Genomic DNA, 16,481 nt, shown 5'->3' on the forward strand with positions numbered 1-16,481 from the left:
GGAATGAGTGACAGCACGTCAGTTGTCAGCAAGGACCAGCCACTTCCCCAGTTCCACAGCACAACCTAAACCACCTCTGGGGAGCAGAAACAATGAAGTGATTGAGCTTAAGCCTGAAATGATTGAGAAAATCTAGAACAAAATTTTATTTTCTGCCAGGTGCAGTGGCTCACTGGAAGGCCAAGGTGGGTAGATCACTTGAGGTTAGGAGTTCAAGACCAGCCTGGTCAACATGGTGAAACCCATCTCTACTAAAAATACAAAAATTAGCCGGTCATGGTGGTGGGTGCCTATAATCCCAGCTACTTGGGAGACTGAGGCAGAAGAATTGTTTCTTCTGCCTCAGGGAGAAGGAGGTTGCAGGGAGGTGGAGGTTGCAGTGAGCCGAGTCTCTGCCACTGCACTCCAGCCTGGGCAACAGAGAGACTCCATCTCAAAAAGAAAAAATATTATTTTCTGCCACACAGCAGAACAAGAGCTCAGAGATTAAGTTGACCTATGGAAAAAATAAAGAAAGACTCACTTATGGCAGGGTGCCATGGCTCATGCCTGTAACCTCTGCACTTTGGGAAGCTGAGGCGGGAGGATCCCTTGAGCCCAGGAGTTGGAGACCAGCATGGGCAACATAGAAGGCCCTGTCTCAAAAAAAAATAAATTAAAATTAAAAATAAAAAGAAGAAAGGCTCACTTGAGGCTTGTGGATTACTGTGGCTGTGAGGATTTATACTTACCATGGAGTTAGGGTTTTTAGGAATAATTATAATACGAGCTGAAACTTGCTCAACTCTGCTGTGTGCCAAGCACTACGCTAAGTGCCTTCCATAAGGGATTCCATTTAATCCTCACTACAATCCTGGCTGGCAAGCACCATGACTCACATTTTATAGAGCAGGGATATGAGGCTTACAGAAACAAACAATGGCCTAAGTTCACGTAAGTTGCGGATGAGGAGCTGATTTCACCTCCAAGATCTCCTTAGCCATACTTTCCCTTAAGTCTATCACTTTGAACATATTTTGCCTTCTATTGTAGTTATTTTTAATATGCTGTACTTTTAATGACTTTATAATATTCATGAGAGCAGAAGCATGTGTAATTTATCTTTTAAAAATGTTTATTGAGGTCTAATTTAATACCATAAACATAAATATCAAGTATAATGTAATCATCCAAATGAAGATATTTAGAACATTCTAGCACCAAAGAATTTTCCCCTGAGTTCCATCCCAATCAAAATAGTGCCAAGAGGCCAGGCACGGTGGCTCATGCCTATAATCCCAACACTTTGGGAGGCCAACACGGGCGCATTGCTTGAGATCAGGAGTTTGAGACCAGCCTCTTGGCAACATGGTGAAACTAACCCTATTTCTACCCAAAAATACAAAAATTAGCTTGACGTGGTGGCTTGACTGTGGTTCCAAGTACTTGAGAAGCTGAAGTGGGAGGATTGCTTGAGCCTAGGAAGGCGAAGTTGCAGTGAGCCGTGATTGTGCCACTGAACTCCAACCTGGGTGACAGAGCGAGACCCTGTCTCAGAAATAAAATAAAATAAGACTGGGCGTGGCGGCTCACACCCGTAGTCCCAGCACTTTGGGAGGCCAAGGCAGGCAGATCATGAAGTCAGGATTTCAAGACCAGCCTGACCAACATGGTGAAACCCCGTCTCTACTAAAAATACAAAAATTAGCCAGGCGTGGTGACGTGCACCTGTAATCCCAGCTACTCAGGAGGCCGGGGCAGGAGAATCACTTGAACCCAGGAGGTGGAGGTTGCAGAAAGCTGAGACTGTGCCACTGCGCTCCAGCCTGGGCAACAGAGTGAGACTGTGTCTCAAAAATAAATAAATAAATAAAAATTTAAAAAAGAAAAAAATAGTATGTGTACATTCATATGTGAGTATAGACGTATGTGCATGTATGTGTAGACGAAAAGCTATATAGCAGTTTATCTCTATAATAGCGCTCATCACTGTGCTTCAGGAGTCTGTTTAATTGACTCCCCCACCAAACAATGAGGCCCTTAGGAGAACAGTTGTTGCCTTATTCACCTGGTATATATATATATATATATATATATATATATATATATATACTTGGTAGAAAATGTCTCATTGACAACTCAGAGCTTACAAAATATATACATACACCTATATAAAAAAAACTTCTGCCCCCTCCCCCATGAGTGGTTCTGGAGGGAGTAGCTGAGAGGGTCATCAGGACAGTGCCTATTTTCTCAAAGATACCTCCCTCCTCTCCCCACATGTTCCTTGCTTCCAGTTATAATTCAGGGGTCTCAGTGGCAGGCCCCTTGGGGAAGAAAGAGGTCCTCCCCAAGCTTCCACCCCATCTTGCATTGGGCTGCAGGTGTGCAAGGGCTCATTGAACTCTTTGTGACAGCCCCACCCCCATCCCCACTCCCCCATCCATTGTCCGTGCTGGAACCGCAAGTGCAGAAGTGGGTGGGGTGGGCGCAGCTGGTCTGGGGCTGGCTCAGTCTGATGGTTGCACTCCCTGGAGGACCCCCCCAGGGCTAATGTCTCTGAGGTTGCAGAGTGCTGGCCTGGACTCCTCCAGCCTCCATCCCCATTTTGTTTAAAAAAGAAAGGAAGAAAGAAAGAAAGTGGGGGAGGCCAGAGGGAAAGGAATAGACATGGGGGAGAAACAAAGGTGGCCAGCTGGGGAGGGGAGCTCCTGGGCTCTCCCTGGCTGCCCCAGGGTGGGGCTGAGCCTCAGCTGGATTCAGGGCCTGAGGAGTCCCCTGAAGAGGAGGAGCTGGAGCTGCTGCCCATGGACTCATCTTCATCCTCATCATACTCCTCATTCTCATCCCCTTCCTTGCTGCTGGACTCAGAGGTGTTCCTGCCATCCTCAGAGGAATCCCCATTCTCATAGCCAGGCATGGTGGCATGTGCCTGTAGTCCCAGCTACTTGGGAGGCTGAGGTGGAAGGATCACTTGAGCCTGAGAGTTGAGGCTGCAGTGAGCCATGATTGCACCACTGCACTCCAGCCTGGGCGACAGAGAGAAACCCTGTCTCAAAACAAAAACAAAAACACACGTACACAAAACACCTTCTCATGAGTGTACCACAGCTGCTGGTTGGGGTGAGGGGTGGGCTTCTTGGGAATGTCTGACTTCTTGACATTCTTGATTAAGTTGGAATGATCCTTCCTGAAATGGGCCAGGTTTCACACTTTTTCTCCATCCTTGTCCTCATGGCCCTCGTTCTCTTTATCATCTTCCTAGGACTCTGACTTGGACTGCAGGATTGTTTGTCTGGACTCAGAGGAGTTCGAGTCCGCAGCTTGGTCATGCTCTTACATTTATCAGAGATATACTCTTTCTAGGCTCTGCGGTCCTGGGGACAGAGACCATTAACCCAGGTGTCCAGGTGCACCTTGTATACTTTCGCTGCTCATTGGCCAGCTTTTTGTAGTGCTCCTTCTGACTCCAGGAGATGGCTGCCAATTTCCACCCACCATGCGCTCTGTCTGTGGCAGGTGTTTCAGCTCCCATTGCACAGCAGTTCCTGGAAGAATTTCTGATACCGGTTCACAAGGCTTCTTGCTTCCTCCCTGGAATTTCATCATCTTGGAAGACTCTGTAGCAGCTGGAAGTGCCCACATCGCACTCAGCTCTCTCTCATCACTTTTGGTCTTTGGCTGTCTTCTCAATTCACATCAGGTTCTCCTCCTTGGGATTCCAGGTCACATCCATGGCTTTCGAGGCCTTCACCCGGTCGTTCTTGAAGCAGGCCAGGTAGTTGCTGATGATGCTCTGTTGCCAGATCTGTACTCTCTTGATGACTTGGGCGGCTTGCTGAGTTCCTGGCACTCCCTGCCTGGCTTGCTCTCGGGTCTTGTACTTGGCCTTCTCAGACAAGTCACTCCACCTTCGGGCCAGCGTGCAGGCCAGCTCGATCTCCAAGAACCTAGGCTGCTCCTCCTGCAGCTGCTGCCCCTTTCCCACTGGGGGACAGAGATCCTTAACCCAGGGGTCCAGGTGCACCTTATACGCTTTTGCTGCCCATTGGCCAGCTTTTGTAGTGCTCCTTCTGAGTCCAGGAGATGGCTGCCAATTTCCATCCACCGAGAAGCCGCGTGGGCTTCTCAGAGGCTTCCTTACCCTCTTCCTGGGCTGGCTTCTGAAGGGGTGGTTTGCCCCTCCACACCTGTGGGTGTTTCTCGTTAGGTGGAACGAGAGACTTGGAAAAGAAAGAGACGCAGAGACAAAGTATAGAGAAAGAAAAAGGGGGCCCAGGGGACCAGCGTTCAGCATACGGAGGATCCACGCGCGAACTGGCCTCTGAGTTCCCTTAGTATTTATTGATCGTTATCAGGCGTGGCAGGATAATAGGATAATAGTGGAGAGAAGGTCAGAAGGTAAACACGTGAACAAATGTCTCTGCATCATAGACAAGGTAAAGAAAAAAGTGCTGTGCTTTTGATGTGCATATACATAAACATCTCAATGCCTTAAGGAGCAGTATTGCTGCCAGCATGTCCCACCTCCAGCCCTATCTCAGTAGATGGAATATACAATCGGCTTTACACCGAGACATTCCATTGCCCAGGACGAACAGGAGACAGAAGCCTTCCTCTTATCTCAACTGCAAAGAAGCGTTCCTTCCTCTTTTACTAATCCTCCTCAGCACAGACCCTTTACGGGTGTTGGGCTGGGGGAAGGTCAGGTCTTTCCCTTCCCACGAGGCCATATTTCAGACTATCACATGGGGAGAAACCTTGGACAATACCTGGCTTTTCTAGACAGAGGTCCCTGCGGCCTTCCGCAGTGTTTTGTGTCTCTGGGTACTTGAGATTAGGGAGTGGTGATGACTCTTAACCAGCATGCTGCCTTCAAGCATTTGTTTAACAAAGCACACCCTGCACAGCCCTTCATCCATTTAACCCTGAGTGGACACAGCACATGTTTCAGGGAGCACAGGGTTGGGGGTAGGGTTACAGATTAACAGCATCTCAAGGCAGAAGAATTTTTCTTAGTACAGAACAAAATGGAGTCTCCTATGTCTACTTCTTTCTACACAGACACAGTAACAATCTGATCCTTCTTTTCCCCACAGGCTTCTTGGAGGCCGGGCAGGTGGCTTGCTTCTTGTTGATGTTCAGCACCCTCTCCTCCCACAGGACCTGCTGCTGCTCCTCCTGGGGCAGTCTCCTGAGAAAAACGCAGCAGTTCCGCCTCATAATCTTTTGTTTCCTGGTCGCACATAGGCGTCCTTCTCCTTCCGGGAGAGCAGCTTCCACTGCTGGCCACACGGCATATCATGCGCTCCGCGCTGGGAACATCCTTCTTGTTGGCCATGAGCTCTGCGCACTACAGTGAGTAGCTGTTCCGAGGTGGCTTGTTGGGTCGCCCATCATCAAATTTGTCCTTGAGCTGGTGTTCAGCCTTGGCAGGGGTGGACTCGGTGGGGCCCTCCTCAGTGATGTTCGGCTCAGGGCGCTCCTGGATATAGGTCTGCATGATCTCCTTGTACTACTTCCACTGCTCCTGGAGCCTCAAGAATCCATTTCAGCCTTTTTTTTTTTTTTTTTTTTTGTCTGTCTGAGAGCTGAGACCACTACTTCCCCAGAAAGTTCTTCGCCTCCTTTGTAGGGGCATCTGGCCACACTTTAAAATACACCTTCTTGGCCGGGCACAGTGGATCATGCCTGTAAGCTCAGCACTTTGGGGGGCCAAGGTGGGTGGATCGCTTGAGCCCAGGATTCTAGACCAGCCTGAGCAACATAGTGAAATCCTGTCTCTATACAAAATGTTTAAAAATTAGCTGGGTGTGGTGGTGCGTGCCTGTAGTCCCAACTACTTGGGAGGCTGAGGTGGGAGGACCGCTTGAGCCCGGGAGGTTGAGGCTACAGTGAGCCGTGATTGCACTGCCACACTCCAGCCTGGGTGACAGAATGAGACCTCGTCTCAAAACAAAACCCCGAAAACACACATACACTAAAGTCCTTCTTCCGATGGGTGTACCACAGCTGCTGGGTGGGGGAGTTGAGCTTCTTGGGGATGTCTGGCTTCTTGGCATTCTTGATTAAGTTGGGATGATCCTTCCTGAAATGAGCCAGGTTTCACTCAAACTCTGTTTCTCCCTTGGAAAGTCCTGAATATATTTCATTTTCATCTTCTCAGGAAGCTCCTTTTATTTCTTGGACAGAATCTTTGTGAAGTCCAGGTTACTTATCTCAGGGTGGAGTTTTGCACACTTGGCCTGCTTCTCCATGAGGAAGTGGAAATGAGGGATCAGGGACTTCTTTGGGAAGTCTGGGTGTTGTTTGAGTTTTTTGTGTTTAACCTTTTTAAGGATTTTTAACATGTTTCTGGCATTGAGGATCAATTCTGTCAAAGTGCACAACTTCCTCACCTTGTCAGAAATTTTCACCCATTTGGGCCAGGCACAGTGGCTCATACCTGTAATCCCAGTACTTTGGAAGGCCAAGGTGGGAGGATTGCTTAAGGCTGGGAGTTTGAGACTAGCCTGGCCAACACCCATTTCTGACCCCAACTCTACAAAAAAAAATTTTTTTTAATTAGCCCAGTGTGATGACTCACACCTGTGGGCCTAGCTACTTAAGAAACTGAGGCAGGAAAATTGCATGAGCCCAGGAGTTTGAGGCTGCAGTCAGCTATGATCACACCAGTCCACTCCAGCCTGGGTGATAGAAAGAGATCCTGTCTAGAAGACAAAACAAAGCCAAAAAGAAGAAGAAGGAGAAGGAAAAGAAGAAGAAAAAAGAAATCTCTACCCATTGAACTTGTTGTGTCTCCAGAAATCTTTAAATGCTACTTTGTCCCCATACGTGATTAGGTGGTTTTGAACTTGTAACTGCTGTTGGTTGGAAGGTTATTCTTTATGCATTCCAGCAAAGTCAGCATGTCTTCCTGGGACCGGTGGTCTTGGCCTTTGAAGGCGGCCATTTCCAGGTCAGTGGGGGATGGGCTTCTCTGTTCATCCTCCAGCTGTCCAACCACCTCCTTGGTTGTGCTGGCGGCAACCCAGGGTCAAAGTCACTTTGCCTTTAGAAGACATACCAGTCCCTGCTCAGGCAGGCTGAGAGATGAGGGGCTTTCTATCCCTTGCCACCTCCCAAAGGGGAGGGAGGGACGCAGGTCCACACTCTCAGAGAGACCCAGCCAAGACCCTATTAGACTTAATGGATCTGTGGGTATGAGGGTGTGCCCCTCCTCTTTTTCCTAACTCTTACCCCAGTTCCTGAAGTCCAGCTCAACAGCATGTACCCTCCCCTTCCCACACGAAAACTGCTCCCAGCTCCTGGTGTATAATACTCAGTGAATGTTTGTAGAATGAATGAATAAATCGCTCAATGTTTTTATGTGTTTATTGACTTTTTTTTTTTTTTTTTTTGAGACGGAGTCTCCCTCTGTCACCCAGGCTGACTTGCAGTGGCGCCATCTCATCTTACTGCAACCTCCACCTCCGGGTTCAAGCAATTCTCCTGACTTAGCCTCTCGAGTAGCTGGGACTACAGGCACCTACCACCATACCTGGCTATTTTTTTTCTTTTTTTTTTTGTATTTTTAGAAGAAATGGGGTTTCACCATCTTGGCCAGGCTGGTCTTGAACTCCTGACCTCAAGTGACCCACCCACATTGGCCTCCCGTAGTGCTGGGATTACAGGCATGAGCCACCAGGCCTGATCTATTGTCTATTTTTATATCTTTTATGAAATGTTACTTCTGCCCTTTAAAAATTGGATTAGTTGTCTTTTTATTATTGAATTACTTATATATCCTAGATGTAAGTCCTTAGTCACGGGTATGTTTTGCAAATATTTTCTCCCAGTCTGTAGCTTGCCTCTGAATTTTCTTTTCTTTTGTTTTCTTTTTTTTTTTTTTTTGAGACAGAGTCTCTGTTGCCCAGGCTGGAGTACAATGGCTCAATCTTGGCTCACTGCAACCTCCACCTCCTAAGTTCAAGCGATTCTTGTGCCTCAGCCTCACCAGTAGCTGGGACCACAGGCATGTGCCACCACACCTGGCTAACTTTTGTATTTTTTGTAGAGACAGGATTTCGCCATGTTGGCTAGGCTGGACTTGAACTCCTGGACTCAAGTGATCCACTTGCCTCGGCCTCCCAAAGTGCTGGGATTACAGGCGAGAGCCACCGCACCCAGCCACCTGTTCATTTTCTTAATTGGCTTTTGATGAGAAGTTTTTAGTTTAAAGAAATTTCGATTTATCAAATGTTTCTTTTGTGATTTTGCCTTCTGAACCTTAGAAACCCTTGCTTACTCTTGAGTCCTGAAGATATTCTTCTATATTTGCCTCCAAAAGCTTTATGATTTTACCTTTTGTTTACTAAAGGCAATGTTAGAGGTACACTGATAAATATTTTTATATTTATTTATTATTTATTTTTGAGGTTTTTTTTGAGACAGAGTCTCACTCTGTTACCCAAGCTGGAGTGCTGTGGTGTCATCACAGCTCACTGTCTCTACAAAAAGCATTTTTTTAAAGATATGCAAAATAAAAGAAATTATTTGTCTATCAATGAATCTGCTCTGTTTATCAGTGTGGATTATTGAGGGAAACTTTTATGAATGACTCAGTTTTGCTCACCTCCTATTATATCCAATCAAAGCTGATAAGGAAACTGGAAAGGTAAGATCATTTGAATTAAAATTTTTTTTTTAAATTTTTATTTACTTTTTATATATGTTTTAAGGCTAGTCAAGCAGAGCAATGGGAATGGAGAAGGAACAAAGATATCTGTAACTGGTTGTGATCGATTAGTTGTAAACACCATTGCACTCGGATCAGCCTGAATTTATTTGGACCAGTGATCTCCAATCAGTAAAAAATTTTGAGTGCATGCTCCTCATATATGCATATTCACTTATCTAGACATTATATATGGACTACTCCACTCATTGTGAACTTTAAGAATATATGGAATTTATTTTCTTTGCTTTTTGTTTGTTTTTTGAGATAGGGTTCCTGTTGCCCATGCCAGAGTGCAATGGCATGATCACAGCTCCCTGCAGCCTTCAACTCCTGGGTTCAGGTGATTTCCCCACCTCAGCCTCCCAAGTAGCTGGGGCTATAGGCACAAGCTGCCAAGCCTGGCTAATTTCTGTATTTTTTGCAGAGATAGGACTTCGCCACATTGCCCAGGCTGGTCTCAAACTCTTGGGCTCAAGTGATCCTCCCACCTCAGCCTCCCAAAGCACTGGGATTATATGCTTGAGCCACCACGCCTGACCTGGAATTTATTTTTTTAAATGGAATTTTAAAAGAATAAAATAAAGATAAAAATATTTAAAACTTATTTTAATTTATTGTTAAGGCTACAAAAGTTATTTCTTCTTCTCTGTAGCTCATGTGGAATTCATCCTTTGAGTAAGAGCAGAATCAGCTTTGTGATTTTCTTGTTATCATCTTGTGCTTACATTCCTGGTTTATCTTCAATAAGCAGCTTTGCTGTGGGAATCTTCAGAGGTTCATTTTGCTTTATATGAAAGTTAATTTCATTAAAATTGAAGAATAGAGTCTGTAAATCCACATACATGGGAACACAGTAAAGTATGACCAAAGCAGATATCTAGCTGGGTTACCCCCAAAGTGCAGCCCAGTGTAAAGTCTTCTTTGCAGATAGTTCATTTGGGAATATGGTCACAAGGAATAAAAATGCAGGGCCGGGGAGTGAAACAGGGAAGGAGGGAAAACCCGTACAAGAACCTGTTTCCAAGTTGCCCCTCCATGACCCCAGCTAAGGGGCATCTCACTAGAATATTTTGGGGAGCCTCACAGAGTTCATTTCGGAAATATGTGTCTGTAGGACAAAAAAGAAGCATTTATCCATCAGCTCCTGCGTCCCAATTGTCAAGAATGGCTTCAAGAGCGTAAACACTCCTGCTCTTCTGGTTTACTCAAAGGGGATTCCCAAGTCCCAGAGCAGAAGAGTGAGATGTACAGTGAGGCCCATGTTAGTGCCAGCATGATACTGGTCCCACAGCAGTGGCTGGAGCTGACTCCCTACACTTAGTGGGCCAAGGAAATTTTGAAGAGGTGCTCAAGAAGTGTCTGACACAGCAGACGAACACCAGCAGCAACAACAACAACAAAAAGGTTGCATTTTCAATTCCTTAAGCATTGTGGAACTCTCTCTGAGTACCACCTATACCACACATGCTATATGGTCATTTGGGTACTGAGCGAGGGGAAAGCTTTGTTTATTTGTTATTTTCCATTTTTTTCTTTTTTTAACTTCTTTTTACTAAATATAAATAAAAGTTATAATGACTTATTGCCTTATTCCAGTGGAAATTCTTCCAGACCCATTGGGGATTTAGACTACCAAGAAAAATATAATAGAGGAAGTAAGTTGCTTCTGTTGGAAAAAAAAACTTAAGCAGTGCAATCCAAAGCCAAAAGCATTAAGATTTTCTAGTGCTGGTTAATAATGTTTTAAAGCCCAATATTTGGAATGATTTATGTCTTTGCATTACCTTATTAGTATGGATGATGGGGTATTGGCAGAATAGAATCTAATCATTTATCATATACAGGAAATAATAGCTGCTATTCAAAAATGTGTGTAAAAGGCAAAACAATCTAGATCTTGTAGGTTTGGACATCAAGCCAGACCGTCAGAGGGCAATTTTCTTGGATTGTTTTGGTCCCTGAAGGAGCCCTTTTATTAAATTATGCTTTGGCATGATCCTCATGGCTTGCATTGAAGGAACCCATAAGAAACAGCTGAAGCCAACTCGCTGTTACATTTTCTTTAGGGATGTTTTTGGAGCTATATACATTATATTAGCCAATACCCCTTGACTTTCTCCTGAGGACTGGTACACTGATATATAATTAGTTAAAATCTATTTTAATCTTACATTCAATGGGCAAAGTTACTCTTTTATTTTATTTTATTTTTTTTGAGACAGAGTCTCATTCTGTCACCCAGGCTGGAGTGCAGTGGCATGATCATGCTCACTACAGACTCCGCCTCCTGGGTTCCAGCCATTCTCCCGCCTCAGCCTCCTGCGTAGCTGGCATTACAGGCGCCCACCACCATGCCTGGCTAATTTTTGTATTTTTAGTAGAGACGGGGTTTCACCATGTTGGCCGGGCTGGCCTCAAACTCCTGACCTCTGGTGATCTGCCCGCCTCAGCCTCCCAAAGTGCTGGGATTACAGGCGTGAGCCACGGCGCCTGGCCAGTTACTCTTGAAAATAATTGTGTTTTCCATTTTCCTTTGTCCACCAGGAAGTTTAGTGTTTAGCTCGCCACTACTTTTAATAAATGTGGAAGACTGAAGAGCATGCATTTTAGTGTACTAATACTTTATTGGCTTTATCTTATTATTGGAGCCTTGTTTTTCCTACTCCATTATATTTTTAAGTAAGAAAGAAAATCTGATGAAATTGTATGCATTCTTTAAAAGCAGCCTCAAGTCTGTTTTGTAGTTAAACTAGGCATAATTAAAAAAATAAAAATACCATTTTGATGTCCTGAAATCCATATGAATAACATAAATCTAAGTGGTTATGACATATTTTAAAAATTTAAAATCACTGGAAAATCTAGAGTCACTAACATTTACATACAGTGATATTTTCTCTTTACTCTCAAACTTTTTTTTACATGTTGGAGCCAATTAAATAGCATTCCTTGATTCCCTTCCCAGTTCAAAACAATTGGTAAATAAGATATGGGAGACAAACAAATGGAAATGAAAATGTCATCTCTGTCACTGATAAAAGGGACTGGAAACATGACTTCAGAACTGTGATCCAAAGGGCTTGGTAACACTCCACTACCATTAATAGATTTTCCCACCAGCGTCTGGTATAGATGGATTTCAGGTCTTCCCAACAGGGCAGAGCCTACCTGGGCAGCTGACCATCCAGCAAAGAGCAGGCCCTAGTTCACCCTCTCTTTGGGTTGCCAGATTCCAAAGAACACATCCCGGTAGGGGCTGAGCTGCTCCGCTCATTCCTTCTCCCAAAGACACCAATTAGAGAAGTTACTCCTTTCCTGCGGCTGGGAGGAAAGAAGATCTGAGGCAGGAATGACAGCCGAGTGGGGTGTTTAATGGTTGCTCTTAGTATGGTGGGTAGGACAGGTCTCGGTTGGACTGTTGTATGCATTGTAAACTCTTCAGTATCCCTGAATGGTGGGCCTGTCACTTAACAACCAAAATCGCCTCCACATATTTTCAAATGTACCTCAGTGCCCCAACAGGGTTGAGAACTTTGCTTTAGAGGAAGTTTCCTCATAGGAACAGGAGGTCTATGTCATATATGGGAAATGAGAGGGAAGGGGGTGACAGAGATGAAAGTTCCTTGCTAACAGTAATGTCTTTATTATTAACTTTCTGTGAGCTGTACATTTTTAAACGAATTCCTTAGAACAAGAGTGATGTAGCCAGGCACAGTGGCTCGCGTCTGTAATCCCCGCACTTTGGGAGGCCGAGGTGGGCGGATCACTTGAGGCCAGGTGGTCGAGACCAGTCTGGCCAATATAGGGAAACCCCATGTCTCCAAAAAATAAATAATAATAATTAGCTGGACATAGTGGCACATGCCTGTAGTCCCAGCTACTCAGGAGGCTGAGGCATGAGAAGTGCTCTAACCCAGGAGGCGGAGGTTGCTGTGAGCCGAGATTGTGCCATTGCACTCTAGCTTGGGTAACAAAGCCGAGTCTGTCGCAAAAAAAAAAAAAAGAGTCACGTAAGGTGGCCTCATTCTGGTCCTGCCTTGCATCCCCAACAAGAAAGTTCAGGGTGGCATGTAAGGAAGACCGTCAGCCACCAGATTCATTTCAGTGGCTTCTAACGGTTAGGATAGGTATTCCTTTACATGTGATCTCAGGGACTATCACATGGGAGCCGCAGTCTTGAATGCTGACAAAGTTCACAACAACTAAAGCAGAGGAAAAGGGCACGCATAGAAAATGTCAAGGGGACGCTTGAAGGGCAGGGGGTGAGGCTGCCTCTAGACAAACAAAAAATAAAGATAATATCTGCCCCATGTGTTCACAATTTTAGCCATACAGAGGGACTAAAAGGTTAACATTTCCAACTGCCATTTTCACTCTGAATCCATCACTCCTAGAGATCAAACAATCACTAGGAGGCAATGGGACTGCACGGCTGGGGAAATGTACCATGCTACCTCTAATTCCCTTATATCTTTGAGATAACCTTAAGGTATCTCCAATCTTAAAAGGAATATCTGGCCATGTTTGCTGTGGATGACTTAAGGAAAACAGATTAACAGAGTGAAATATAACAACCAAAGTTATGGTTTATAATTGACTTAGGGCTTTGGAGAGGGCAACGCCTCTGTCATTACTTTGCAAACACAAAGTGACTTACAAATAGAGCTGAAATCTCTGCTAATAATCACCTGCTGTTTGTTTCCCTCTGACCATCTGCATTAGATCCACCTGTTGAAGGGAGATCTTGTTTAAAACCTGTGTCCCACTGGATACCTAACTAACTAGAATCTCTAGGGGTGAATCCCTGGAACTTTTCATTCTAATAGTTCCCTCAGGTGACCTGTGTGCACGTTGAAGACTGAGAGCCACTGTAATACAGGTAACTTTCTTAAATGGGTGTACTGTGTGTGTATAGGACATAGGCATACCCTGTGCCTAAAGGACTTTAGAACAGCCATTCTTAGAAGGAGTGGAGTCTATGCCATTACCTAGAAAGCTGGAGTGGGATCAGGCTTTTATATCCAAGAACTTAAAGGAGAAGCTGGCAAGTGCTGTCATTTCCGTCAGGGGACAGATTCCTACTGAGCCCACACAGGGGCAGTCCCTTTAAGGAGGGATTGGCCTCATGGGAGGATGTCTGCAGAGATGTCTGTGAAGGCTGGGTTCAAAGATTATAGAGTGGGCTGGGTGCAGTGGCTCATGCCTATAATCCCAGCACTTTGGGAAACTGAGGCAGGAAGATCACTTGGGCCAGGAGTTCAAGACCAGCCTGGGCAACATAGCAAGATTTTTGTCTCTAAAAAAATTAAAAATTGGCTGGGAGCAGTGGCTCACGCCTGTAATCCCAGCACTTTGGGAGGCCGAGGCGGGCGGATCATGAGGTCAGGAGTTTGAGACCAGCCTGGCCAACATAGTGAAACCCCGTCTCTACTAAAAATACAAAAATTAGTCAGATGTGGTGGCATGTAAAAATACAAAAATTAGTTAGGTGTAGTCCCAGCTACTCTGGAGGCTAAGGTGGGAGAATCGCTCGAACCCAGGAGGTGGAGGTTGCAGTGAGCTGAGACCACACCATTGCACTCCAGCCTAGGTGACAGAGTGAGACTCCATCTCAAAAAAAAAAAAAAAAATTAAAAATTAAAAAATTCACCGAGTGTGGTAGCGGTTGTCTGTAGTCCTAGCTACTCAGGAGGCTGAGACAGGGGAGGATTGCTTAAGCCCAGGAATTTGAGGCTGCAGGGAGGTATGATTATGCCCCTGCACTCCAGCCTGGGTGACAGAGTGAGACCCTGTCTCTAAAAAAAGATTGTGGGGTATAGTGAAGAGCTGTTTGGGTCCAAATTGCCATGAAAGGAAAGGAACAGACATGATCCCCCTTTCTTCAAAGGGCCTACTGTCTAGAGCAGGGAATTGGGCAAGCAAGCACCCACTCCCACAGCCAGCAGCCCCACTTCATAGGCAAGCTGTGGCAGGGCTAGTATTTACCAATACACAAAGGTGTGGCTATATGGTTAGTCAACATACTTAAATACTTTCGTAATGGTTAAAAACTTTTGTGATGATTGGTCAATAACCATTGCCTCAATCCTTCCTTTCCTGAGTGGCCCCTCTATCCTGGCTACTCACATGTTTCCTTCCTCCCTATATCCTATGATCCAGTGATGAAAGGTTAATGTCAGGCACAGTGGAGGTACCAGGACCCCACACCAGCACTATGGCTGGCTTGTCTTCTGACTGGTTGGCACCTGTGATATACTGATGGTTAAATATTTTGGATCACACCTGTAATGAGCGGGTGACTAATTTCTGGCAATGACACTGAGTAGAAGTTTGGAACATTAGAGCCCTAGTAAACCCTGGACTGGGGGACCAGCACCCTTCCTGGGGGAAGCCTAGCAGACATCCTTCCTGGATTCTGAGGTCCCCTCAGGATTCCTGACGTACCTAGGTAGGGAGAACGTCCTGAGAGACAAATAACAGACTCCCTTCTAATCCTAATATGTGGGGCTGTGAGCTGGTTCTAATTCAATTTCAAAAACAAAGACATAAAATTTCTACTAGCCCAGGGATCATGAGGCAATCCATACTGGTTAAATCAGCATAAGGAATTATTATTTTTATTAAATTACTATGTATGCCACAGAAAGGTTGTGTTGCTGAAAACAGGTCATCAGGAACTGTTGTTTTCCTGGCCATTTGAACTTCAGACCACTACGGTAGAAACTCTAAGGGTTTTTTGTTTTGTTTCCGTTTTGTTCTCTGATATCACAAGCCTCTAGAACGCTACCTGGCACATAGTAGGTGCTCAATAAATGTTAGTTAAACAAAACTACAATTTCAAAGGATTCCAAGTTTGTTGTTTAATTTTAGCAGAAGCTAGAAGAAATTAGCAGGATATATTGAATTTGGCCAGGTGTGGTGGCTCAGACCTGTAATCCCAACACTTTGGGAGGCTGAGGTGGGTGGATTACTTGAGCTCAGGAGTTCGAGACCAGCCTGGGGAACATGGCAAAACCCCTTCTCTACCAAAAACAAAAAAATTACCTGGGCGTGGTGGCACACGCCTATAGTCCCAGCCGCAGGAGGATCGCTTGAGCCCGGGAGGCAGAAATTGCAGTGAAGCGAGATGGCACCACTGTACTCCAGCATGGGCAACAGAGCAAGACCTTGTCTCAAAAAAAAAAAAAAAAAAAAGTCAAATTTATTTTCTACTTAGAAGCATCCAGAATCCCTGCCTCTTGTAATGATGGAAACCTCTGTTTGAGCTTAAAAATTAGTGGTTTCAATTAGCCGGGCGTGCTGAAGCATGCCTGTAATCCCAGCTACTCTGGAGGCTGAGGCAGGAGAATCACTTGAACCCAGGAGGTGGAGGTTACAGTGAGCCGAGATCATGCTATTGCACTCCAGCCGGGGCAAAAAGAGTGAAACTCTGTCTCAAAAAAAAAAAAAAAAAAAAATTAGTGGTTTCCATTTGCAACGTCTGCTATTGGAACAAACTGCAATTTACTAATTTATTAGGCAGTAGTACTCTAGAGATTTAACAAAAAATGAGCATGTCCGTTACTATTCCAGGTTGGCAACTGAGCTCTCTTGAGAGAGCTTCTCACTAAAGGCTCACTAAGATGATGGGCTCTGAGTACACCTCATCTAGAGCCAGGAAATGATCTCAAGGGATATAGATGGGGCAAAGGCCTTCAGACTTGATCTCCTGTTGTCAGATTTCTTCTCAGGATTTCACTTGTTTTTGCATTTTCTGTTTGCTTTTCTAAGCCTCATTAGACAG

The 16,481-nt window shown here is 45.1% G+C and overlaps 1 pseudogene, besides 1 other annotated feature; it reads right to left on the reverse strand.

Moving 5' to 3' along the window:
* Nucleotides 313–458: a silencer, noted in NCBI's record as "fragment chr3:5119481-5119626 (GRCh37/hg19 assembly coordinates)". NCBI's record gives its function as "represses an EF-1alpha promoter that drives an FKBP-Casp9 reporter gene in an ReSE screen in HepG2 liver carcinoma cells {active_cell/tissue: HepG2}" and the evidence as "EXISTENCE:reporter gene assay evidence [ECO:0000049][PMID:32094911]".
* On the reverse strand, nt 2,095–7,025 carry UBTFL8 (UBTF like 8 (pseudogene); annotated as a pseudogene).

Source organism: Homo sapiens, chromosome 3 (assembly GCF_000001405.40).
Source record: "Homo sapiens chromosome 3, GRCh38.p14 Primary Assembly".
In the NCBI taxonomy this organism is placed as follows: domain Eukaryota; kingdom Metazoa; phylum Chordata; class Mammalia; order Primates; family Hominidae; genus Homo; species Homo sapiens.